Genomic DNA, 25,729 nt, shown 5'->3' on the forward strand with positions numbered 1-25,729 from the left:
TTATGGGCGGTGCTTGCAAGGCAAGTGAGTGATATAACATTCACCAGATGCACGTTTATTCAACTACAAAACCTACTCTTCTGCTGTAATCACCACTATAGAGTTTGGTGAGAGTGTTCTTGAGAGAGTTTTCTCTCAGTCTAAGGTGATGGGATAATAAGCTTGTGACTTCCTTTTCCACACGACTGTTTAAAAAGAGTAGATGCTTGAATGTGTCCCATTAAGTTTGCAGCTACACTTTATCACAGATTTTGTAGCCAACACTGGTTATGAAGACATCTACAAGTAAAAGTGATATAGTTTGGATGTTTGTCCCCTTTAAATCTCATGATGGAAATATAATTCCCACTGTTGGAGGTGGGACCCTGCGGAAGATGTTTGTGTCTTAAGGCAGATCCCTCACAAATGGCTTAGTGCTGTCCTTGCCATAGTGAATGAGTTCTCAGGAGAGCTGGTTGTTTAAAAGTGTGTGAAACCTCCCCTGTACTCTTGCTGCCACTCTGATCAGGTGATGTGCCTGCTTTCATTCACCTTCTGCCATGATTGTAAGCTTCCTTAGGCTTCACCAGAAGCAGATGCCAGTACCATGCTTCTCGTACATCCTGCAAAATCATAATCAAATTAAACTTCTTTTCTCTTTTATAAATTACTCAGTCTCAGGTATTCCATTGTAGTAACACAAATAGACTAACACAAAGGAGGTTTTTGGGGTCACTATTACCGAAAGGGTTTGACGGGCCCCTGAGGTGATGTACCTTAAAAACACTGTTACATCATTCCACACCACAAATCATGGTCCTTAAGAGAGCGCCTTTCAAAACTCTTTATGTTCCCATAGCTCTAGTGATTGAGCAAGTAAATTAGCAGGATTTGAGCCATGAGGAATACCCAGGCAAAGTGAAAGGAAGCAAATGGATTATTGCAAAAATTGAGATAAGAGATGATTAGGGCATGGTTAGAGTAGCAGCAATTGGCGTGAAAAAAATTAGTGGACTTGAGATGTATTTTGGAGCTGTAACCAGAATTTGCTGGTGGGCTGGATGAATACAGGGAGAATACAACAAGCATGACTACGGAGTTTTTGGCTCAAACAGCTGATAAGACAGTGGTGTTAATTTTAGAACAAGGAGCATTGGCCGATTAATAAACCTGGGTAGAGGAGTCATTTGTTCCATTAAGTTCTTGTTAAATTTTAAGAAGTAGATAAATAAATCTAAAACAGGCAGTTAATAGAGTTTTGGGGTCTAGAGGGCAAGTAGAATATTTGAACTTCAAGAGGAAACAGGATAATTCTTCCATTTAACAGGAGAAAAGACTAAGATCATAGTTCAGGCACAGGATAGCTTTGAGATTTGGGGGTAAGAATTTGAGCTCCTCCTTGAATACTTTTATTTTCTCAATCTTGACATGAGACCCGTGGCTGAGTAAGAAGACGTACAGGAGTTAAATATTAAGGAAAAAGGTTAAAAGTGTAAATTATTCTCAAGAGTGAAAAGTGGTTATACGGGGGGACATGTTAGATTTCCAAGCAATATCAAGTTTCTGTGAAGTCTATGGTCATGAATTTTAAGTGAAACCACTGTGGAACAAAATCAAACTTTGCCTTGGGTTTGGTTCTGCTCTGTCAGAGACAATTTTATTATGATTTTTTAATGCAGCCATGTGAAAGTGTAAGGCAAAATAGCCCCTGATGAGAACCTATACTACAATGATGAGCTAATATACAGATTAAGTGAGCAAATTTCCATACTAAATATTTCATACGTAAGTGAAAAAAATACAATTTCTGATGGCAAACAATGATTACTAATTTTATGGTCACAAAAATACCTCATAGTTAAAAGTTATATTCCGAGCATACTAAACATGAGTTTTATACTTAAATTTCTGCTTTGGAAACCTGAATTATAAACTTTAATTTATTTGATTTAATTATGGAAATATAAGTTACAACTCTATTAGATGAAGAGCCTTGAGAGAAATATAATGTTGTTGGCATAATTATTGTGGTACAGTTATGCAATTGTTCTTCTCAGCAAGTTAAGGAAGAGCAAGTTGGAAAATGTTTATATTTAAGTGATATTATAAAATGATTTTCAGGGCAGCCTAAACTGTTTTTTAAGCTGAATGCATGCTCTGTTTCTTGGATTGTGTTAATGTCAACTTGGTTAAGATGGAAACTGGATTTCCCAGACCCTCTATCCCTCCAGCATTCCAAATTAGAAATATTCTAAAAAGGATCTTGTATGAGATTTGGAGGATAAAAGTGAAGCTGTAGTAATTATTCTCTGAAAGCCATAATGTTCACATATGGTGGCAGATATAGACAAGAGCCCCAGCTACTATCTGTTTTGCATCCAGTTTGTCTTCCCAGCTGCTGGCCCTGTTGACCAATAGAAGCCTTGAATGATTTTAAGTGCTTGGCTGAGAAGCTACACAGGTGTTAAATACATAGACGCACTTAGGATAGCTTGTTAGCTTCTTCAACCAATTTAATGATGATACATCTAACTTTTCACTAACCTTTTTTCCAACTCACTATCATCACTCCTTCTAATCTTAACAGATTGACTATTGCTTCTCATAACCATAGCGAGCCAATATCACCTCTCCAAAGAGTCATTCCCATTAAAAAAAAAACTTTACATCTCAATACTAATTTCCCTACAAATATTATAAATTATAACATTTCCTGCCACAGAATTATCATATTTTATATCCTCTTTGAAGCCACACTAGTCCCCACCCTAGTTATTATTACCTGCCGAGGCAATCAAACAGAATGCCTTAACACAGGACTACACTTTTTATGCTATATGCTGGTTGGATCTCTATCCTTACCCATAGTATTCATTTATACCCTAACTTCCCTAGGCTCCCTAAATATACTAATTACATCATATAGTGCTCAAGAAATAATAACTTCCTAATCCAATAGTCTTTTATGACTATGATACTCCACAGCATTTATAGTAAAAATATACCTCTATGGACTCCATCTATGACTGCCAAAAGCCCACATACAGGCCCCCATTGCTGGGTCAATAGTCCTCCCAGCAGTACTCCTAAAATTAGGTGGCTATGGAATAATGCAAGTCAACTTAATCCTTAAACCCCTAAGAGAATTTATATCATACCCCTTCTTCATACTATCCGTATGAGGAATAATTATAACGAGCTTCATCTGCCTGCACCAAACTGATCTAAAGTCACTCATTGCCTACTCCTCTGAAAGCCTCATAGCACTTGTTATCATAGCCATCCTCATCCAAACCTCCTGAAGTTGTGTAGGCGTAATGGCCCTAATAATTGCCCATTGACTCACCTCATCCATATTATTCTGCGTTGCAAACTCAAACTATGAACGAGTCCATAGCCAAACCATACTGCTAGCCTGGGGCCTTCAAAAACTCCTCCCACCACATGATGATAATAGCCACATGACGACTCTCCAACTTCGCCCAACCTCAAACCTCAACAACCTCCAATTTAACTCACTTTTCCCTACCCCCATCATTAATCTAGTAGGAGAAATTTTCATAACCATAGCCTCATTCTCTTGATCTAACCTTACCATTATGTTTATAGAATGTAATATATTACTCACAGCCCTTTATTCTCTGTATATATTAATTATTACACAATGAAGAGTATTCACATATCACGCTGATAATATTAAATCATCCCCATGTGAGAAAATACCCTAATATGTAAACATTTTCTACCCCTTCTCCTATTATCACTAAACCCTAAGGTAATTTTGGGGTTCATATAATGTAGCTGTAGTTTAATTAAAACATTCGACTATGGATCTAATAATAGAAGTCTATAACTTCTTACTTACCAAGAAAGTATGAAAGGACTGCTAATTCATGCTCCCATATTTAACAATAAGGCTTTCTTAATTTTTAAAGGATAAGACTTATCTGTTGGTCTTAGGAACCCAAAACATTTGTGCAACTCCAAATAAAAGTAATAAATATATTTTCTTTCTTTACACTGACTCACTAGTCCTACTAACTTTTCCAATTATTATTACCTCAACTAGCATTTATAAAGACAGTTTGTACCCCAATGATGTAAAATCATCCATTGCATTTACCTTTATTAGCAGCCTCATCCCCACCACCAGATTCATCTATACAGGCCAATAAACTATTGTTTCAAACTGACACTGAATGACAGTTCAAACCCTAAAGCTTTCACTCAGCTTTAAACTAGATTACTTCTTTACAATATTCATTCCAGTAGCACTATTTGTCACATGATGTATTATAGAATTCTCAATATTGTATATATATACTCAGGCCCCAACATAAATCAATTCTTCAAATATCTACTCATTTTTCTCATTACTATACTAATTCTAGTCACTGCCAACAACCTATTCCAACTCTTTATCGAATGGAAAGGCGTAGGTATTGTTGGTCCAAGCTGCACCATTTTGTAAGCGCCACTTTGCAGACCCTAATCAGAGTGAAACATTCCACAGAGGTTCGGGCCATGAGAACCACCCTGCCTAACCACCTGACCACAAAGCACAGGAACATTCTTATAACACCCTGCCGGGCAAAGGCACAACTGAAGGGATATCCTTCTGAACATCCTCCCAGACAGCAAGACGTACCACAAAGACCACCAACCCCGAACCTATAAATTACCCCAGCCTGTAAGCAGCAGTGGGCTCTGGCATTAAGCTGGTCCCCCACCTCCGCACGTAGTGCTGGCAATAAACCTGTGTTGCTGTAGAGCCGCCAACTCTCTGTCTTTCTTCAATCTTTACCTTACCATCAAAACCTAACTAGGTCCTTCCTGCTAATTGGCTGATGGTATGGCGGAACAGACACCAACACAGCAACCCTTCAAGCAATCTGACATGATTGCCTCAGAGACATCAGCTTTATCCTAGCAATAGCACAATTTCTCTTGTCCAGTATATTAGAACTTCAGCAAATATTTATCCTCAACCCTAGCCCCAGTACTCTCCCACTAATTGGTTTTCTAGTAGCAGCAGCTAGCAGATCAGCTCAATTTGGTCTCCACCCCTAACTCCTGTCAGCTATAGAAGCCCCAGCACCCATCTCAGCCCTACTCCACTCTAGCACAATAGTGGTAGCAGGCGTTTTCCTACCAATACAATTTTATTCCCTAATAGATAATAACATAAATATTCAAACACTCACATTATGCTTAGGAGCTATTACTACACTATTTACAGCAATCTGCACTCTAACACAAAATGACATATAAAAAATTGTGGCATTTTTCACCTCGAGTTAACTAGGACTCATAATAGTTACAATTGGTATTAACCAACCTTACCTAGCTTTTCTTCATATTTGTACACATGCCTTTTTCAAAGCTACATTATTTATATGCTCCAGGTCTATTATTCATAACCTCAATGATGAGCAAGCTATTCAAAACATAGGTAGGCTATTTAAAGCTTGCCCTTTACCTCTTCCTCACATACTATTGGCAGCCTCGCACTCAGGTATATACCTTTCCTCAAAGGCTTCTGCTCCAAAGATCTTATTATTGAAGCCACAAACACATCATATACCAATGCCCGAGCCCTCTTAATCACACTCATTGCCACCTCCCTAACAGCTGTCTGCAGTACCCAAATTATCTTCTTCGCACTGGTAGGACAACTTCGCTTCACAACCTTAGTTGTTATCAACAAAAATAATGCCTCCTAATTAATTCAATTAAACATTGAAAAATTGGTAGCATTTTTGCCAGATTTTTAATCTCCAACAATATCTCCCCAATATCAATTCCCCAAATAATTATGCCTCTCCATATAAAGCTCACAGTTCTGGGCACAACTATCCTAGGCTTCTCACTAGCACTATAACTCAACCTTATCACTAATAACCTCAAACTTAAATACCCATCACAAATATTTAAATTTTCCAATGTATTAGGATTTTATTCAACCTCAATGCGCCATGCAACACCATATTCAAACTTCCTTGCAAGCCAAAATATAGCCTCCCTTCTACTAAATCTAATCTGAATAGAAAGGACAACACCAAAAACACTGCCCAACTTCAGATCATAGCCTCAACCACTGTACCTGCCCAGAAAGGCCTAATTATGCTCCACTTTTTCTCTTTCCTTATTCCATTTCTCCTAACCTTATTCTTAATCATTTAACCCTACTTCCCTGGGTAATCTCTATTGTGATAAAAATACTAACAAACAAAGATTAACCAGCAACCACCACCAGTCAACTCTCATAGCTATATAATGTGGCCACACCTATAGAATCCTCACCGAGTAATCCCACTTCCTCGCCTTCAAATATTACCCAATTTTCCATGTTTTTAAAATTGATTACAATTTCTACCTCGTTCTAATTATTCACACTACCATTACCAACTCTAATACCAAATGTAATATCACCTCAAATGTCACCTCGTAATGTCACCCCAAATGACAACACTTGGCCCCCAAGCAATTGAAGGTGTTAAATACAGAGAAGTCCTCAGGATTGGGAGTTAAGACCCTAGGATTAAACTCCTGGGGGCTTGTATGTATTTAACACCTCTGTAGCTTCACCTCTGTAGCTCCCAAGATTTTTCTTGGGAAGATGGATATGTTTGCTTTTTTTGATGATCTCTTCAGACTTCATGTTTTCACCTATCAGTCCTTCAAGCTGATTCTTTAGTGGCCCTGATAGTAATAATCTAATGTGATTATTATGCATTGTATAACTTTCAAAATATCTCATGTACCTCATAAATATATACACCTACTGAATACCCACAAAAATTAAAAATATATTTTTAAAAATTTCCTTGTTTAGAGTTTTATGATGGTATATACAATGTGCATTTTGTTTTTATTTCAATATCAGCTCAGACTAGGTTTACTTGTAGAAAAAAACTATGCAAAATATTGTTAGCTTGCAAGAACAAAGGTTTATTTCTTACACATTTTAATGTTTACTGCTAGTCAACTTTTGCTTTGTTTCAAGTCTTTTTTATGACAGTACACCAGCTAAATAGCAGCCTTTGTCTCTGATTACCAAGACCCATGACACATGGGAAAATAGAGAAAGCAGGCTCTCGTCAAGACTCTTAAGCTCTTGCTCAAAAGTGACACATGCGCTACAAACTCACATTTCATTCAAAAAAGCAATTCATATGACCAATCCGAATTCAATAGAAAGTATAATTCTTCCACAAGGATATATCTGGTACAGAGGAAAAGCAAAGCTTTTGACAATACCAAAAGAATTTAACAGAATCCATCCTCATGTACAAAATATTATTTTTTTTTTCATTTAAGCACAAAAAAATACATTCATTCTTTTTCTAGGTAGACAATGCATTGCCCCATTCACTTATGACATCAGGTCCAAGTTGAGGATTTTTTTGATGGCCCCCACATTAGACTTGAATAGGATTACATTAAACCCGGAGATCTATATATGAAATTGTCAAATTATCTGCTTCTCACTTCCTTCTGTGATTTCTGAATCCATACATTTAGCATAAAAGTAGTAGAATGGGGATAATATAATCATAGTTAATGATTTCATTTAGAAAGGCACATAGCAGTTACTCTTCCTTAGTATCCCGAAAGCCTACTGGGTAGAAATTGCAAAGGGACCATTCACTGGTGTTTGGGAATGTTTCTTGATTAGCGCCCAGTCTATGATTCTGAACAGCTTTCCAGCTCACTATTTCCCACATTCCTTAGCTCCACCACCCAGTTTTGTCTTTTTCACCACCTTATATTTTCATGCCAGTATAATGCTTGGTTTGTAATAGTTGCACAGCAAAGGCCTACTAAGTGAGTAAACAATTTACAAAACAAGGTAAATATAAGGAATGAAGTGTTATATAATGTAGAACAGATTTGTAAGCCTTAGAAAAATCAAAGGAGCTCAATTAAGACTATTATTTCAGGAAACCCTGGAAAGGTAGGGTATGAGATGGTAAGAAAATAACATTTTCAGCAAATGGAGAAAATGAGTAAAGTCATCAATGAACATATGTAAGACAAGCTTGATGAGGATTTTGAAGGAAAATAACTTTACATATAAAAGAATTATAAACTGCTAATACAAATTTTTAAGTATCTAACATTTAAATTTATCAATTTAAATATTTTATACAATGCATATATTTTTTATGTAAAATAACAACTGAAATGAAAGTTGCTCATGTTGCCTTCAGAATCTTCTTTCTCTTATTATTTAAACACACAGAAGCATCTTCTCATTAAAAAATGACACTAGGACCAGTGAACCTACAAAGTGTTCTTGCTCTACCCTTCTCACTGTGATTTATGATCATGTATTTAAAGTGTCTTCCCAAAGCATTAAAATGATAAAGGGTTCCAGGATTACAAAATAATGCCACTGGAGAGTTCAAAGGAATCATTAGAGACTTTTGGGATAGAAAGAATGGAATGTTGTTTTATTATTTCATTGATCCTCTCTACATTTCTGCTCAATTCTTCCTTAGTGTTTCTGCTACACAATAAATTAAGTAACTGGCTGTCAACTAAATTCATTCCCACCTGAGAGAAAAAAGAAAAAAAATGGAGAATTTGCCATATGTGAGTTTGCACATAAGCTGTTAACTTTTAAATGTTGATGCCTCTCATGTGAACAGTAATTAAGCAGACATGATAGAGCAACTCCAGTAAGTACTTAACTGGATTATTTGCATGCTCCCATGTCTATTACTATATTTCTCCTATCTCATTCAACATTTGGTAAACACACGTTAGCTCCCTGCTGTAAGTAATTCAATATGCTGGTTGCTGAGGTTTTTACAGAGGAATATGAAAATGGAATAAAATTCATACAAACAGTGTCCTGCCTTTGTCACTCAGTAGACATGAAACTTTGTGCAAGTTGCTTCACCATTTCTGGGCCTCAGTTTCCTCATTTGTAATACAGGAATGTCAACAAGCCCCATCTCACAGGGTTACTAAGAAAAATGAATGTTTGTATGGAAAGCATTCAAATATTAGCTTTTATTAATATTGTTAAAATTGTGAAAATTGCTAGAAAACTACAATATGGTATGACTAATTGATTTAATGCAAGTAGATATCAAACTCTATAGAACTGTGAAGAAGGGCTCAACACTATTTTAGAATAAGATTTACCAGGAAAAGTAATTTTTGAGCTGACCCCTGAAGAAAGAATAGAAATTAACCCGATTGGTGGAGCAGAAGAAGGTCAGTACAGGAAAAGAACAGCATATGTTACAAGATACATGTGCTAGAGCATATCACATTTTTATAATTGCAAGCCATTTTTGCATAGCTGGAACAACATTTTCCGGGGAAAAGCTTCTGAAAATGGTGCTGGAAAATATTTCTCATGTGGTTTTTGTCTTTGGTTCTGTTTATATGCTGGATTACATTTATTGATTTGCATATATTGAACCAGCCTTGCATCCCAGGGATGAAGCCCACTTGATCATGGTGGATAAGCTTTTTGATGTGCTGCTGTATTCGGTTTGCCAGTATTTTGCAATGGCAACAAAGCCAAAATTGACAAATGGGATTTAATTAAACTAAAGAGCTTCTGCACAGCAAAAGAAACTACCATCAGACTGAACAGGCAACCTACAAAATGGGAGAAAATTTTTGCAACCTACTTATCTGACAAAGGGCTAATATCCAGAATCTACAATGAACTCAAACAAATTTACAAGAAAAAAACAAACAACCACATCAAAAAGTGGGCAAAGGATATGAACAGACACTTCTCAAAAGAAGACATTTATGCAGCCAAAAGACACATGAAAAAATGCTCATCATCACTGGCCATCAGAGAAATGCAAATCAAAACCACAATGAGATACCATCTCACACCAGTTAGAATGGCAATCATTAAAAAGTCAGGAAACAACAGGTGCTGGAGAGGATGTGGAGAAATAGGAACACTTTCACACTGTTGGCGGGACTGTAAACTAGTTCAACCATTGTGTAAGTCAGTGTGGCGATTCCTCAGGGACCTAGAACTAGAAATACCATTTGACCCAGCCATCCCATTACTGGGTATATACCCAAAGGACTATAAATCATGCTGCTATAAAGACACATGCACACAAAGGTTAAGAATCCTCTGGACTGGTGGGGCCAAGCTGCTCCTGGACAACTGGTCACTATACTCTGCGGGTGGTGTCAGCCAAAGCATTTCACAATGTGGTGGCAATGGGATCTGTCCTCATTCTCACTTGCTAGCAGCAGTGGCAGTGCAGTGGAGTGCAGGCTCATTGGTTGTGGCAGGGTATTAGTGGGCACCAGGATGCCTGCCTCTATGTGGGCATTCACCACAGTGGCAGAGGCATCATGGGCGTGTGGGGCAAGGAACCTCTGCTAGTGACTGTGTGTGGTCCTGCTGCTGGTGGTATTATCATGAGGTCAGGAAACTGGTGGGAACGGGTCTGTGTATGCTCTCTATGTGCCACAGGTAGGGGTAGTTGCTCAGGGTGTGGGAGGATCCACTATTCTCACTGCCTAGTTTCACTCTTCCAGCAGTGTTGGTGCGAGGGTGGGGCACTGGTGGGGCCAGGCTGGCTGGCTGTGTGTCTTCCAAGGCTATTACTACATTGCAGATTAGTGGGGGTATAGGTTCCAAGTGAACTTTGCCTCAGCAGTGGCAGAGCAAGGTGCATATACACACATGCACTGGTAGGGCAAGGATGGCAAAACCTGCCCATGCACACACATGCTAGTAAAGCTATGTGGTTGGTTGCTGTGGGCCTGTGGGAAGCTGCAATATGGGCAGCAAGTAGATGGGCTGGTGCGTGGCCATGGGGTTAACCCCCATATTTCTCCACCATTCAGGCATGGTCCACTTGCTTAGGAGCTATGATGCGGAGTCCCAGGGCACCTGAGGCTGCCCTGCCAACAGGTTCAGACAAGCTGGGGTCCCAGAAGAGGACAATAGACCAAGTGCTGCTTAGGTCAGACTGCCCAGTCCAATGGGCAAGATTGCCCTGCAGAATTCATGTAAGACAGTTCTGCTAGGGCTAAAGTCTGCTGTGGGAATAAATCAAGCCTAGGGAAATGGGTGTTCTTGGCCATGTTCTGCTACAGACACTCCTGCACCAAACTCTCTGGCCTCCACATCTCCTGGCATGCTGATCACACGGAAGATGCTTTCATCCTGCCAACTTGGGAATAGGAGGTGGAAGCAGCTGGCAACTAAAGGCTGGAACACTTGCTACTGGATAATCATAGCTTTTAATGTTGCACCTTTCAGGTTCTTAAGGGAGTCTGTTTTGGTTCCATTTCATACATGTTTGGAAAATAATCTGCAGAAATGAGCTGTGCTTGCAAGGACCTCATAGTTCCCAAGAATTAAAAAAAGAAAAAGAATTCCACTTGATCAACTTAATTCCTTTTCTTTATCTTCCTTCCGTCACTTCCCTTTTCTCCCACCCTCTTTTCCAAGCTGTTTCACTTTGCAATATGTTACTGGTAATAAGTTGCAGGATAACACAATCTTAATTTGTTTTCTCTTATGTATATGAGTTCAAAACTCCTGTATCTAAAGAAATACGATTGGGGTCATTAATAAAAAGAAAATTTCTATCTTAAAAATAAATAAATAAATAAATACCACTTATCTTACCACTTCTTAAGCAGCAGTGACAAAAGGTCTCATTCTGTCAGGATTCCAGAGGCCTAAGGTCAGAGTGGGCTGCTTCTTGCCAGTTCAACTCACCAATTCCCTCAGAGTCTTAGCTTTATTTATAATTTTCATGTTTTTCACTCTTGTTTTAACTCCATTATTACTGACTCACATGAACTACTCTTCCAAACTGTTCCTAGAACCATAACAAAGGTAAGTAAAAGAACAGTCTAACTTCAGAATTGAAATCAATTCAGAATAACAAGGGAATGTGTGAAATTTGACCTCTCAACATAGCAGCCATAATTACCAAGTCATTGACTTCTCTTAGCCTCAATTATTTTTTATTGTAAAATTGTGAAAATAAATATTTCACTCAAGTTATTATAAGTATAAATATAATTGGTATGTAAAAGTACATGGTATGTTACATAAATATTCAAAAGTAAAGTTATGATTTCATTTATCATCGTCATCAACAATTATTATCCTCAGTATTATTCAAAGTTAGATTACCCATACGAAATAAATACAGATGTTCAAAATATAGACTGAGACTAATTCTCTATGACTGATTTCTTTTTCGCCCCCAAAATGTGAATTTCCTTAAACAGATTATCGTGGGTAAATTTTTTTAAATTGCTTCCTTTGGAAATTGGTCTGTGAGTTAATGGATGCTTGTATTTTCCTTAGAAAAATTAAAGTAAATGTATGTAAAATTATATTTTATTGGAAATGTCCTCTAGTGAATTGTGATTTAATATTGTTCTTGTTTTTGACACATAGGATGAAAAGCAGTTATCACGATTTTTAGAGCATTTTGGGATTTTCCTTGGCTACAAGTAATAGAATTATTACCAGTGACCCCTCACATAAAGAAATATTCAAATATTCAAAGGCAAGCAGTCTGGAGCTTCAGCTAAGGCTCTATAGTATCAGCAACATCCCAATCTCCTTCTATGTTTCTGCCTGACCATCTTGAGTATGAGCCTTTTTTTTTTTTCAATAACATTATGGTTGCATGGTCATGCTCCATCAGTGGCTTCATATTTGCAATCCATGCCAGAATAGTTACAGGGATAAATAAGCAACAAAGAGAAAGGTGATACTTATATCAAGAAAACAAAATTTCCCAGAAATCCCTAGCAGATATTCATCAACAGTAACTCTATCTCATGACTAGCCTGAACTGCAAAGCAGGCTGGGAAACGCAGTTTATCAACTGGACACATTGTTACCCTAAACAAAATGGAAACTTTGCTGATGAGGAAATAGAAGAGACTAGATATTGAGTAGGCAACAATAGGGTGAAACATCATCAACAGGATGAAAACATCTTCCGTGTGATCAGCATGCCAGGAGACGTGGAGGCCAGAGGGTTTGGTGCAGGAGTGTCTGTAGCAGAACATGGCCAAAGGCACCCATTTCTCTAGTTGTCAGGCTCTTTTAGTAAATAGAGACAGATGGTAGCTGTATAAAATTTCTTTCTAACCTGCCATCGTGGAACATGTTACAATGACAGTGCATGTGTTCTGAGTTTATGATACTAAGTTAAAAAGAAAGATACATGAATTATTCTATATAATTATTGAAGTACAAATTCATTTAAAAGATTGTGACTATCAAGTGGTTTATAATCAATATTGAATGGTAATTAAGTATATACATATTAATTTACTACTTACAATTATAATCATCTGAACAATGTGTTGTTTTTATAAAATGAAATTTAGATTTGTTTGCTTATTGTATTTGAAGCTTCTAATTTTAAGGCTCAGTATTTCTGTAAATACCACTAACTTATATTGCTTCTCTTAAAATATACATTTTTAGTGTTCTGTTTAAATATACATTTTAGTGTTCTGTTATTGCTTTAAGTGTTAATATGTATTGATGTATTTATTATGTATATATTTAATATGGTATTGACAATCAGAGGAGTTGCTGTGTATTAATCTAAGCAAATGTTTGCAGTGAACAATTGTCAGGTTCTTTTAGTAAATAGAGACAGATGGTGGCTGTTTAAAATTTCTTTCTAACCTGTTATCGTGGAACATGTTACAGTGAAAGTAGACTTCAGAATGGATTCTGATAAACATACAAATATTTATCACCAAGTATATATAAAAAAATCACATAATGTAATTTATAGTGTTAATTGTTTCTTTGAAGCACTTTTACAAGAACTTTGAAATTCTCAGTTTACTCTAAAGCAGATAAAATTATAACTTGATAGAAGGACCAGCCATGTTTCTACTTGGCTCAGGTATCAGAATATTTGATTAAGAAAAAAGAAGAGGGAGAGAAAAATTGTTGTATGATGTGTGAATGTACTATACACTCTTTTTAGACAACCATATATCCTGAATATCCCTTATTCTTCCCAAATAAAACATTTTAATATTTATAATGTTAAGTATGAGCCTTGTGTTGAATATTTACTTAATGATGTATAAAGAGTTTGTATAAGATTTCTGAAGTCTGAATCCCCAATCAAGGACCTTCAAATGCTAATTATCTACCTCCAAATTGTGTAGTCTTAATTAGGGTCCTACAAATGTACCATAAAATCCCTCAGGTATAGGATAAAATTAATTCATACACACACGCACACTGCTCCATATACTGAGTTATTTTAAATTTCAAACATAATCTATAAATACATTTGTCAAAAAGGTGAAGGTTGCCTTTATACTGCACAGCAGCTAAGGATTGGATGGAGGACAAAGTCAACGCTTAGAGGGCTTTGCATTACCAAATGGGCCAACAAGTTTAAGAATACCTGAACATGAAAGCAATAAAACGATAGCAGTAATTAGCAGTAGACACTTTGTCCAAATGACCAAATGGTATCTTGAGATACCACTGTGGCTCTGAGAACCCTGTTACTCCTCATACCTCTGACTTTTAGGATATTTCTTGAAGTCTAAAGTGCCATTAATTGGCTATCAGATGCTTCCCTTCTCCTCTTTCAAGGTCCATTGGACTTAACAGGGATATTTTGTAATTTTTGGTCTTACCCTGTGTCCATTTGCATGTTTCATGTGATTCCTAGGATTTCAATGTGCCCTTGTACTTTGCAAGAAAAGAATTATTGTAGAGTATAATGATGCATGTGTTCATAAAAAATTTACAACTGTGTCACATTTTGGATTTTGTAGTCAATATAATACTTTCTAGTTGTACTTGAATGTCAAAATATTCCCAATTGGAGCTCACTATATTAATAAATATAAACTTGGAAATACCAGCATTTAAGTGTAACACAAATGTTCAAAAAAAAATAAACATTTTACACTAACCTTTCAGTTGTTTTGCCATATGTGTCCCCAATAAACATATAATTGGTTGCTTAGACAATTACTTATGCAATGCCATAAACTGACACTATTAAAACTATTTTCACTCAGTTAAAAACTTGCTGTGTATTGCATTGTAATTTTCACTGACAATGAGAAATCAACATATTTTATAATAATTATTTATACCATTAAAATTTTAAATGACAACATTTAGCATGCTTAAATCTGATTGTTATAGCTGTCATCCACAAAGAGTTGACATTAGAGTTAAGATATTAAAAAGCAAGCTGCACAAAATACCTAAGATATTTTAACATTCAGAATATAAAACAAACTCTCAGTATTATAATAATGTAACTTTATGTTTTACATTATATGTTACAATGTTTACTTGCTAATATGGTTGGACTAAAATTACAGAGACATGCACAATTTTTAATGTTATTCAAATGTCACATCTGCCTCACTAATAGGGGATCAGGTCTCTTTTGGGTAGGTTTCTTAACCATTTCAGGCTTATGACTCTGTTCTCCTGTTTAGCCAGGGTAGTTGACTGAAGCTTTCTCAATTGCTATTCACTTGACTGAAGGTGATAGCAAAAATATTTAGCAATCTTATTTTGTAATTATTTATTTTTGGACATTTGGCTCTCTATTCTCCCAGTGTACACACTTCACTAGGACAATTTAAAGGCATTTTCTAGTTATATCAAGTTGAAACTAGTTGTTCCACCTGGAACAAGTTGCCCCTTCTCTGCACAGACTTAAATTACCCTATCTATCCAATTAAATAGCTCCACACTTTCTTGCTTCAGGGGGATTTTTTTCTGTTAAAGAAAAACATTATTCATGACACTTCTTCAAAACGTAAGGCACTCTTTATCTGGGACTGCTGTGAGGGGTTTTGCAGTAGGGGGCACAGATTCAGCTCAACTCTAAATACAATAAGATAAAATTGAATTTTATAGTTAAAGGCTGGGCCATGGGGAAAAATTACTAAGAGGAAACATCAGGGGTCTGGGGAGATTCTGATTCAACCCGCCTAATAAGATTTTTGTTGAAGGTAGGTCAGGTTGAGAGGATGAGGATATTGATCTGATTTCGAGGGAGGGGGATTCTGGATAAACTGACTTAACAGGAGTTTTCTACAGTTGGGCTCTAGGGGGATATGCCCTAAGATGGGACCTAGCTGGGCTCTGAAGAGCCCGACTAAAGTTTGGTCAAGGAGAGAATCTTTATCATTTTCCAGGACACTGAATCTACACTTGTCATTTGGCTTCAAAAGCATACCTATTTATTTATATATATATATATATATATATATCTGCATATTATTGTAGTTCAAGTTAATTCCAAAGAGTCTCCTTATCCCCCAATTTGTTACATCTCTTGATCAAAATAGGTACTGGGTAAGTGTGAAGGAGCGATTTTACTCAATATTTCACTTTTTTTTTTTAAGTTGCTAGACATACATGCAAATATCTTTTCAAGTCAGTGTGTCTCACACTCTAATGTATATTTGATGAACCTGGTGAGATTGCTGGAAAGGCAGATAGATACTCAGGCACCACCCTAAACTAACTGAATCTAAATTTATATTTTAACCAGATCCACAGGTGATTTGTATGCACATTAAATTTTGAAAATCGCTGTTTTTTAGGGTATTTTTGTCTACAGAAACAAATACAGAAAATTTGAGCATGTACCATGGTTTTTCACAAATAGACCTACAGAATTAGATATGTATCGTATTCATTTTCTAGATGACCCTTTCTTACTGATTACTGGATTACCTTTAATTTCTTTAAGTTCTGAGACAATTATTATGTTGCATAAAATCTAAGGAAGAGCGTTTACCGGTATAATAAATTAGAAATTCCAATACATTTTATTTCCAAATTAAATATGTAGAATTTTATGGTGCTGCATCACAAGTTGATATAATTACAATCTCTTGCAGACATGGTTATGAGCGCACTTTAAGATAGTCAGACCTATTTGTTAACAGAAAGAAACAAGAAGATGTTGGAATTTCCCTTTATCCAAAGTCCTACAGGAAACAGAATATGCTCTCTTTAGCTGTCTAGAAGGAAACACCATAACTTGTTATTCTGAAAACCAGTGGTATAAATTCATCCAGTTCTTTAACATTATTACATTACACAATTACCAGGATTTGTGTTTGATGTCAATAAACTTAATGAGACACAATCTTCCCCTCAAGAATTTTAGCTATTTGTGAAGCCAGACAAGCAACCAAAAGACTTCAGAGAGCTAGATGTTACTGAAGAAACAGAAAATGCTAGTTAAACAATATCTAGGCTGGGCGCGGTGGCTCATGCCTGTAATCCCAGCACTTTGGGAGGCCGAGACGGGCGGATCACAAGGTCAGGAGATCGAGACCGTCCTGGCTAACACGGTGAAACCCCGTCTCTACTAAAAATACAAAAAATTAGCCGGCCTGGTGGCGGGCGCCTGTAGTCCCAGCTATTCGGAAGGCTGAGGCAGGAGAATGGCGTGAACCCAGGAGGCAGATCTTGCAGTGAGCCGAGATTGCTGCCACTGCACTCCAGCCTGGGCAACAGAGCGAGACTCCAACTCAAAAAAAAAAAAAAAAAAAAGAATACCTAGTGCAAGGAATGCATATCCAGGTGAGGGAACACATCTAAAATTATACTGCATGCAAAGACCATATTCATGAGCAAGATATAATCGGAAATGAAGCTTGTGGGAAGCAGGTGGGAGGAGAGCAGATTGTATTTTGTCTTTTTTCCATGCTAAATAACTGCCCTAATTAAAGAACAAAACCATTTTTATTTCACTCAGAAACCCTGTGTTACTGAATTTTGAACTAGGAAGTTCCCGGTTTCTATTCTCTTTGCCATTATATAGCCTATGTCATTTAGTAAAGAATAAATAATTCTTTTGGCAGGGGCTGAAAGTATCTCTTTGCTAGTTTGTAACCCCCAGTAATAAGCTTCTGAATTCCTTTACTGAGGCTAACACTAGAGAGTTAGGTGAATTCAAATCCCTGTTTTGCCCTGGTCTGTGGAGTCAGCTGTCCCGAGAAGGAGTTGGCTCATCTACTCTTCTGTCACTCCCGCCTGCTATTCCTCTCCTTCTCTCTATTGTTGGATAAATATAGGTACCTAAACTATTCCCATTTCATTTCCTATTTCTGTGCCAATGTGTTTATATGTTTATATACATTGTTGGAATAAGCCAATTTGTGTGATGAGTGGTAGGGCACACTGGCCTTCTTTTGCCAAGATTTGTCAAAAAGAACACGTAGGCAGTGGAAGTAGCAGAAAAACAAATAGTTAAAAAAAAATAAGGGTTCAGTTTCAGCTTGAAAACTTATCAGCTATATGACACTATGCAAAATGTCTAGAGCTTCTCAGCCATATTGTCTTCATTTGAAAATGGTGAAGAGTGGGACCTGCCTCCTAAGATTGTTTTCAAGAACTCTATTACATTATGTAGTTGAAAAATTAGTGACAGGTAAATGTTGTAGACAGTTGAAAAGTAACCCTATTCCCTGTTTAGTACTAGCAATTTGGAAATCGATTTGGTCAAAGAAATTTACTTAAAGAGAAAAGAAATTGTTATTAAATATTTTGCCTCCATCCTACAAATTTGGCATTGGGGTCTGAAAACTTTGTCCATGTGATTGTAGAGTGAGATACCAGGTGCAGGACCTCAGACAAGTTGCTTCATCCATTGAAGTCACAATTTTATTCTTTATAAAATGTAGACAACAAGCACTTTCTTGATAGAGTTTTTCAGAGAATTAAATAATAATTATGTAAAGCACATAAGCAGTGTCTGTTAGTATTGAATATATAGTAAGATTAGCTAAAAAAAAGAAAGTTGACAGGAAACTATTTTTGAGTATTTGTTCATCAAAAGGGGATTACTTGTGAAATGAGAAAACAAGCTTAACATACTCCAGTAGACAGTCAAAGCTATAGAAATGTTGGTGAGACGCCATTAAGACACAATATAAGGTTTTTGAGAGCTGGGTTGTTCATATTCTTCTTTTTATCTTTGTAATTCCTTATCACTAAGCAAGGTAAAAATACCCTACATATTAGGGTATATAGTTTTAAATAAATTTGGTTTTTAATTAATTAATGAAAAAAAAATAACCTGGGTGGACCTCGCAGTTAATCCCTTGACAGAGCACACATTTTCATTGGGGTAAAGTCTCCCTGGTACTACATCAAACCAGTTATCTTCTACGTTGTGCTGTGTTCAAGGTAAAAAGTACTGAAACACAAGTTAAAAAAATGAGAGAGAAAAGAAATGTGAATAAAAAATGACAACAATAGCACCTTTTTTCTGATATATGCTTCTGTGACTGCACAGAGGTGGTTAAAGATGTGATGCAGGAACCGGAATTACATTAATTAATGTGCCAAGCACTATCACAGAGTCAGATTTATAATGATCTATACTTTCTTATTTCTGAGGCAAAGTGTTTGACACAGAGTAGAAGCAAAGGTGATTTGTTGCACTAACCTTCAACATGTATAAATAACTGGCAAGGATGACTTATTGCTAAAATAAATCCTAATATGATTAAATATTTGCTCTAATTGCACAAGTTTCAGTCTTACTGACCACACAGACAAAGTGCAACCTAAAATTTGTGAGTAATGTACAAGCCCCTGGAGGGTCATTTACAAAGTCTCTGCAAGATCACATTCTTCCACCAAAAGGATAATATCAAATCTATGTTTAAGAATATCTAAATGTATTTTCAAAATTTTTATTAAAAACAGAAATATAATATTTTAAAGGAAAGGCATATAAACCTTGATAAGTCATTTTTATTTATTTATTTATTTATTTAATATGTTGGTATTATTACATGAAAGGACATGGAATTTTAGTTCAATAGCTATTGATAATTGCCACATTCCTAGTATTGTAAGCATTATTTCAAGAAAACAAATAAATCTGTGGTCTTCAGAAATAGTCATATTCTCAAGACACATGCTCTTCTTCTAGGGAAAAAAAAATACCCTTCTCCAACTGTTTCGTCATCATACTAATCAATTAATAACTAAAAAGCAGGAAATATACCTTTAGTAATTAAAGAAATAATCACAATGAATGTGCTAACAATGTATATTAGTTATTCATTATGAGAAAGGTATGTTATCAAGTTAGATCCATTTTTGAATAGGAAATTCTACTTGAGGATAAAATCAAACAGAGGTATGAAAAAACATGTGTAATTAAGTAGATTAGACCTTAATATTTTTAAAAAATGGTGAGATTCGACTAGTGTGTACAAAATTAGTTTAATATCCTAGGTTAAAAAAATTCCACAAAAATGGAAAGCAACTATTTAAAAGAAGATGTCATCTGAGTATGATTCCAAAATCCTAAAGTGAAACATTCTTTTGAAGAAGAAAGCATGTAGCTGAATGCATCCTGTATTAAATTTGCATTAAAAGTATAACCTGTTGAAACAAGTTGTAACATAAAGCTACTATAACATGGACCTGTTCCAAGTACTCTTTATAAGTGAGAAATTTTAAGTAGTTTCTTTGAGTTGCAGTATATTGGTATAGAAAACTGAGAAATAGTGAGAAAGGGAAGTAATATCAGAAAGGATTTGGCCCCAGTTCCAAATTTTGAATTTGAAATCCAATGGTTATGACGTTACCTTTCAATGAAGTTTCAAAGAAATTTACCTTCTAGGATATCACATCCTATAAAGGTGTTGATTATTATAAATAATACCTACTGTAGTGCTCTTTAAAACACATCTATGAAAATTTGAAATTCAAGAATCTTACCTTATTTTTCACCAGTACGGTCCAAAGTCATCTGCTTTGGATGAAATAAACAAACAAAAAAGCTATTCAATTCTACTTTACCCAAAATGAAAGAAGTATCCTTCCCAACATGTATATATAGACTTACTCTGCCTCACTCTCTCAGTCAAGCGCCAAGTCCAGTAAGTGAGAATTCTGTGGGAATATGGAGAGTTTTGCAACGTTGAGGGTTTAAAGATAGTGCTACCAAAGACTGTTCACTTTCAGTGTACTGTATTATAGACAGAAAGAGCACTTGAAAAAAAAGTTCAGAACTATTATAAAATTATATAATTTCATTACAAAAATCTTCATCTTTATGAACTTTCATATTATAGCATAAATAATTTAGAAACTTTTTTTCTTATTTGTTTAAAATAATAGAAATAAAAGTTTCTGGTGGTTTTAAGGCCATATCTTAAAAATATATTTTTTGAAAAATACCTTTCAAGTACTCTTCTAAATAACTATCAGAGACACGGACAATTTTTTTTCTTTCCATAGTTAATAAAATAACTGTCTATGTTGATTTTAATATATTGACCATTTTTTGCCCATTAGTCACTACAATTTTCAACTATGATAGCCAATGAAATTTTTTAAAAGTGGAATATTTACCCAAAAGTCATTTATTACCCTTTTTTCCCCCATTTTCTTCCTCTGTTATTACAGATTAAGCCTAAATATCTTTTCAGACTAATTTGTATCTCAGGGTTGACTTGTGACCCTGTTCTAGCCATTGAAATACAATGAGTAGCTGTGTTAGAAAATATTGTAAGGAAATTTCTCTTCAGTTTTTTTTTGCCTTTTATGCTCCCTTATTTTGATTTTATCTTCTTGTCTGTGTAACAAATATAAGGTGAAATATGTGGCAGCGATCATGTGAGCATGAAGATGAAAGTCACATGTTGGAAACAACAGAAGAGGACTGAAGGACAGTGATATTTTTAAACTTTGTTGAACACAGGCAATAGCTCTGAACGTCCTCTCTTTGTAATTCTTAGGATAAGAGAAAATTGAATTCTTATGTGTTAAAGGCACTGTTCTTTATTACTTAAAACCTAACATGTTTCTAAAGGATACCTTAAGTTTGGATGTAAATTAGAATAAGAACAAGATAATTCTTATTCTTAAAACCTTTCAACAACTTTTCTATTACAGTTAATTCTGTATTCCAATGATATGTCATCTCTGCTACAGTTTGCAATCTTCAATACAAGGAGTAACATCATTCATTCACCATGTATACCTGGGTCCATTACTCTGCCTAGCAGGCAGTCGGTATTTAAAAATATCAGAAGCATAGCTGAATACATGAATTCATTTATTTATGCAACAGGAAATTACCGAACACATTTCGTGATAAAGGAGATTTCAATGCAACTGGAGTAACAAGGATGAAAAGACAGTGTCCTAACCTCTAGGAATACACAGTTCAGTCACAAGGGCAAAAATCAGTGCATGATGTGTTGAGTACCATACAAATTTATTGACAAGTAAACAATATGTCAAGCTGAAGGAACTCACATTACTGAAGACTGATTTGGGCTGAATCTGAAGGAAGAATAGGAGTTTACCAGGCGGACCAGAAAAGGCCATCCTAGGAAAGAAGAACAACACATGATAATAGAGTGGATCAGAACCTGGCCCTTTGTGGGTACTTAATAAACATCTGTTGTACCGAATTGAACTACATTATTTTTACCAAGATAGACTGTTGGGCTCAGGGGAAGTTCTTGGATCAGAATACAAAAATGTGTGTTTTGGCAAAGTGAAAACCTAAAGTAACATTTTTTTACTATGCCAAAATTTTAGGTTTAGAAACAGGGTATTTAAAAATATTTCACAGGAGTTTCAAGACTTTGGCTAATCTAATTCAATATGCTCTTGGTGTTAGAGCATAAAAAGATATCCAAAAAGGAATGAAATACCAAGGCATGGAATTTTATGGCCTGAATGTGAGGTCTTTTGCTGGATTCCCACAGTACCCTGATGGTCTGTTCATTCATATATTTAGTCTATTTTTCTATGTCATTCAAGTTGGATAATTTCTATTATTCCATTTTCAAGTTGACTGATTTTTTTGCCCTGTTTCCTCTATTCTGCTGTTGAGTCCATTCCTAGATTTTTTAAAATTTTGATTATTGTATGTTTCAGTTTCAAAATTTCCACTTGTTTCACCTTCATGTTTTCTTTTTACTGGGGCTAGTTTTGCAATTGTTTCAAATCTGTTCATAATTACTCACTTCATCAGTTTTATCATGATTGTTTTACATTTTGCTTCAGATAACTTTAGCTTCTCTGTTATCTCAGTATTGACATCCATAGACTGTCTTTTTGTATATTCAGTTTGAGATCTTGCAGGTTCTGGGAATGACAGAAATGATTGATTAAAACCTGGATATTTACATATTTAAAATATGATCTTATTTAAATTTTCTGTCTTAAGTGGCTCTCTTGACAACACTCTGGCAGGGGAAGGACAGGCAGAGGTACCCACTTCTCTGACAGGTAGAGGTAAAAGTCCAGGTTCTCCACTTATCCTCCTTTGATAACTGAGGGAAGGATTGCTTTTGGGGGAACTCAGAGCATTCTAGCCTCCCATGTGGTTTTCTGTAACATTGCACTGGGGGTGACCTGTCTGTCACTAGAAGATCACAAAAGTCCTGATTCCAGTTCTTTATTCTAGTAAAATACTTTAAAAAGTTTATTCTGAACCAAATGTGAGTGATCACGGCCCAAAGCACAACCTCAGTAGGCCCTGAGAACATGTGCCCAACGTGGTTGGGTTACAACTTGATTTTATACATTTTAGGGGGACAGAAATTACAGGTGGTCATCAATTGATATATGTTAGGTGCACATTGGTTTGGCCTGAAGAGGCAGGAAAATTCAGAGTTGAGGGACTTCCAGGTTAGAGGTGGATTCAAAAATTTCTGATTGGCAATTGGTTGATAGAGTGAAGTTACTATCTAAATATCTGGAATCGATAGAAAGGAGTTTCTGGGTTAAGGTAAAGGGCTCTGGAGACCCAGGTTCTTATTGTGTAGATGAAGCCTTCAGGTAGCTGGCTTCAGAGAGAATAGACAATAAATGTCTCTTATCAGACTCTAAAAGGTGCAAGCCAGTTAAATCTCTCCTGTGTCACAAAAAGACCTGGAAAGAGAGGAGGATTCTCTGCAGAATATAGATTTTCTCCAGAAGTGGCAGCTTTGCAGGGCCATTTCAAATATATCAATGAAATATATTTTGGGGTGAATACTTTGATTTCTTTTAGGGCTGGCTATCTGCCATGTGATGCTATATTAGAGTCGGTTAGAGTTAGGTATTTTATTGTGGTAAAGAGTCTTTTTGTCACTCTTAAGATCTCTGTTTTAATGTAATGCTGGTCAGTTGTGCCTTAATTCCAAAGGGAGTCGGGTATAATGAGACATGTCTGACACCCCTCTTCCCATCATGGATGCACTAGTTTTTCAGGTTTACTTTGGAATGGCCTTGACTGAGAGGAGGGGTCCATTCAGTCAACTGACAGGCTTAGAATTCTGTTTTTAGTTTACAGATATCAGAGGGTGTGAGTACCTGTTGACCCCTGGCAGGTATAAAAACCTCAGATCCCTATGCACTTTGTCTAACACCACTGTGGTGGGATGTTGAGGTTACTCATTACAGCCTAGGAAATCTGGGTTTCCCACTAGACTTTTGCTGATGTGGGTGGGTGAGAAACCAGTTTTGTTGTTGTTTTCCTGTGTTTTCAGGCAGGCAAAGAGCAGTAATTTTCTGAAGGTTTTCTGTCTTGCTAAGTTGTTCTTTTTCCTGGTCCTTTGTCTAGAGATAGCAGGCTTTTGTTGGGGCTTTTGTTGGGGCTTTTGTTGTGCAGACCTATGGGCAGTTTGGGGTGGTCAGTTTGTTCAGCTTCAAGTTCAGAATTTATGAAGCTAAAAGAAAATTGAGAGAACACACTATCATGTCATTCCTTGGGTCCCAAAGTCCCTAAATGATCTTCCTTTCTCTATTTGCCTTTTAGAGTCCACTTACGCTTGACTTATATGTGATTTCCAGGGCTTTTAGTTGCACTTAGTGCAAGGAATAGAGACAGATATACTTACTCCATCTTCTTTGACATGTAAGTGACATGTGAGTTTTAAGAATAGCTTTCTTATATAACACAATTCATACAAATTATAAAATATATTGTCTACATGTAACAAACAGTGTTCTAAACTTATTAAGTACTTTTAGAAAGTTTTGTAATAATAAAATTAGTCAAATTTCAGTCATATAGTGATTGTAATTAGTCTTCATATAAAAGTTGCTTAATTTTACTAGATGTCAATATTTTTAAAATTTTGTTTTTATATTTATATTTATTAATCTTATTTAGTAATATTGAAAACAGTTTACCAATTATTTTGGAGTTATACTTTTATAGAAATTTATAGAAATGATGATATTGTGTACTATTGTGTGGTTTTTGTTTTTTCAGTTGCTCAATAGATTTATAACCAGTTTTTTGGAATTAAGATGTATTAGTCCATTCTCATGCTGTTATAAGAACTACCAAAGACTAAGTAATTTATAAAGAAAAAGAAGTTTAATGGACTCACCATTCTACATAGCTGGGGAGGTCTCACAATCATTGCAGAAGGCCAAGGAGGAACAAAGGCATGTCTTACATGGCAGTAGGCAAGAGAGCATGTGCAGGGGAACGTCCCTTTATACAACCATCACATCTCATGAGACTTATTCACTGTCATGAGAACACCATGGGAAAAATCTGCCCCCATAATTCCATTACTTCCCACCGGGTCCCTCCCATGACATGGGGATTATGGGAGCTAAAACTCAAGATGAGATTTGGGTGGGGACACAGGCAAACCATATCATAAGGTAAGAGTGAAGATCAAAAATTATTTCCTAAATAAAATAACTATAAAATATAATTAAATGTTAATGCTATCAGCAAGTTTTTTAATAAAATTCACT

At 36.0% G+C, this 25,729-nt stretch overlaps 2 long non-coding RNA genes and 3 pseudogenes across 3 annotated transcripts in view; 3 read left to right on the plus strand and 2 right to left on the minus strand.

Moving 5' to 3' along the window:
* The window catches only part of LINC00333 (long intergenic non-protein coding RNA 333), a 466,167-nt gene that overhangs the window by 377,149 nt on the left and 63,289 nt on the right, over positions 1 to 25,729 (plus strand). The gene's annotated exons all lie outside the window — the stretch shown is intronic.
* The window catches only part of LOC105370289 (uncharacterized), a 159,166-nt gene that overhangs the window by 105,899 nt on the left and 27,538 nt on the right, over positions 1 to 25,729 (minus strand). Inside the window, exons 2-5 of one of the 2 annotated variants that reach the window (XR_942134.1) lie at positions 22,993 to 23,113; positions 22,274 to 22,346; positions 20,856 to 20,902; positions 20,729 to 20,759 (exon numbers count right to left, since the gene is read on the minus strand). This is a non-coding gene — a long non-coding RNA (uncharacterized LOC105370289). Of the gene's footprint in view, positions 1 to 20,728; positions 20,763 to 20,855; positions 20,903 to 22,273; positions 22,347 to 22,992; positions 23,114 to 25,729 lie in introns of both variants that reach the window. The other variant, XR_942133.1, reaches the window with a different exon arrangement.
* On the plus strand, positions 2,480 to 3,769 carry MTND4P1 (MT-ND4 pseudogene 1; annotated as a pseudogene).
* MTND5P3 (MT-ND5 pseudogene 3) lies at positions 4,056 to 6,156 on the plus strand (annotated as a pseudogene).
* MTND6P37 (MT-ND6 pseudogene 37) lies at positions 6,167 to 6,325 on the minus strand (annotated as a pseudogene).

Source organism: Homo sapiens, chromosome 13 (assembly GCF_000001405.40).
Source record: "Homo sapiens chromosome 13, GRCh38.p14 Primary Assembly".
Taxonomy (NCBI): Eukaryota; Metazoa; Chordata; class Mammalia; order Primates; family Hominidae; genus Homo; species Homo sapiens.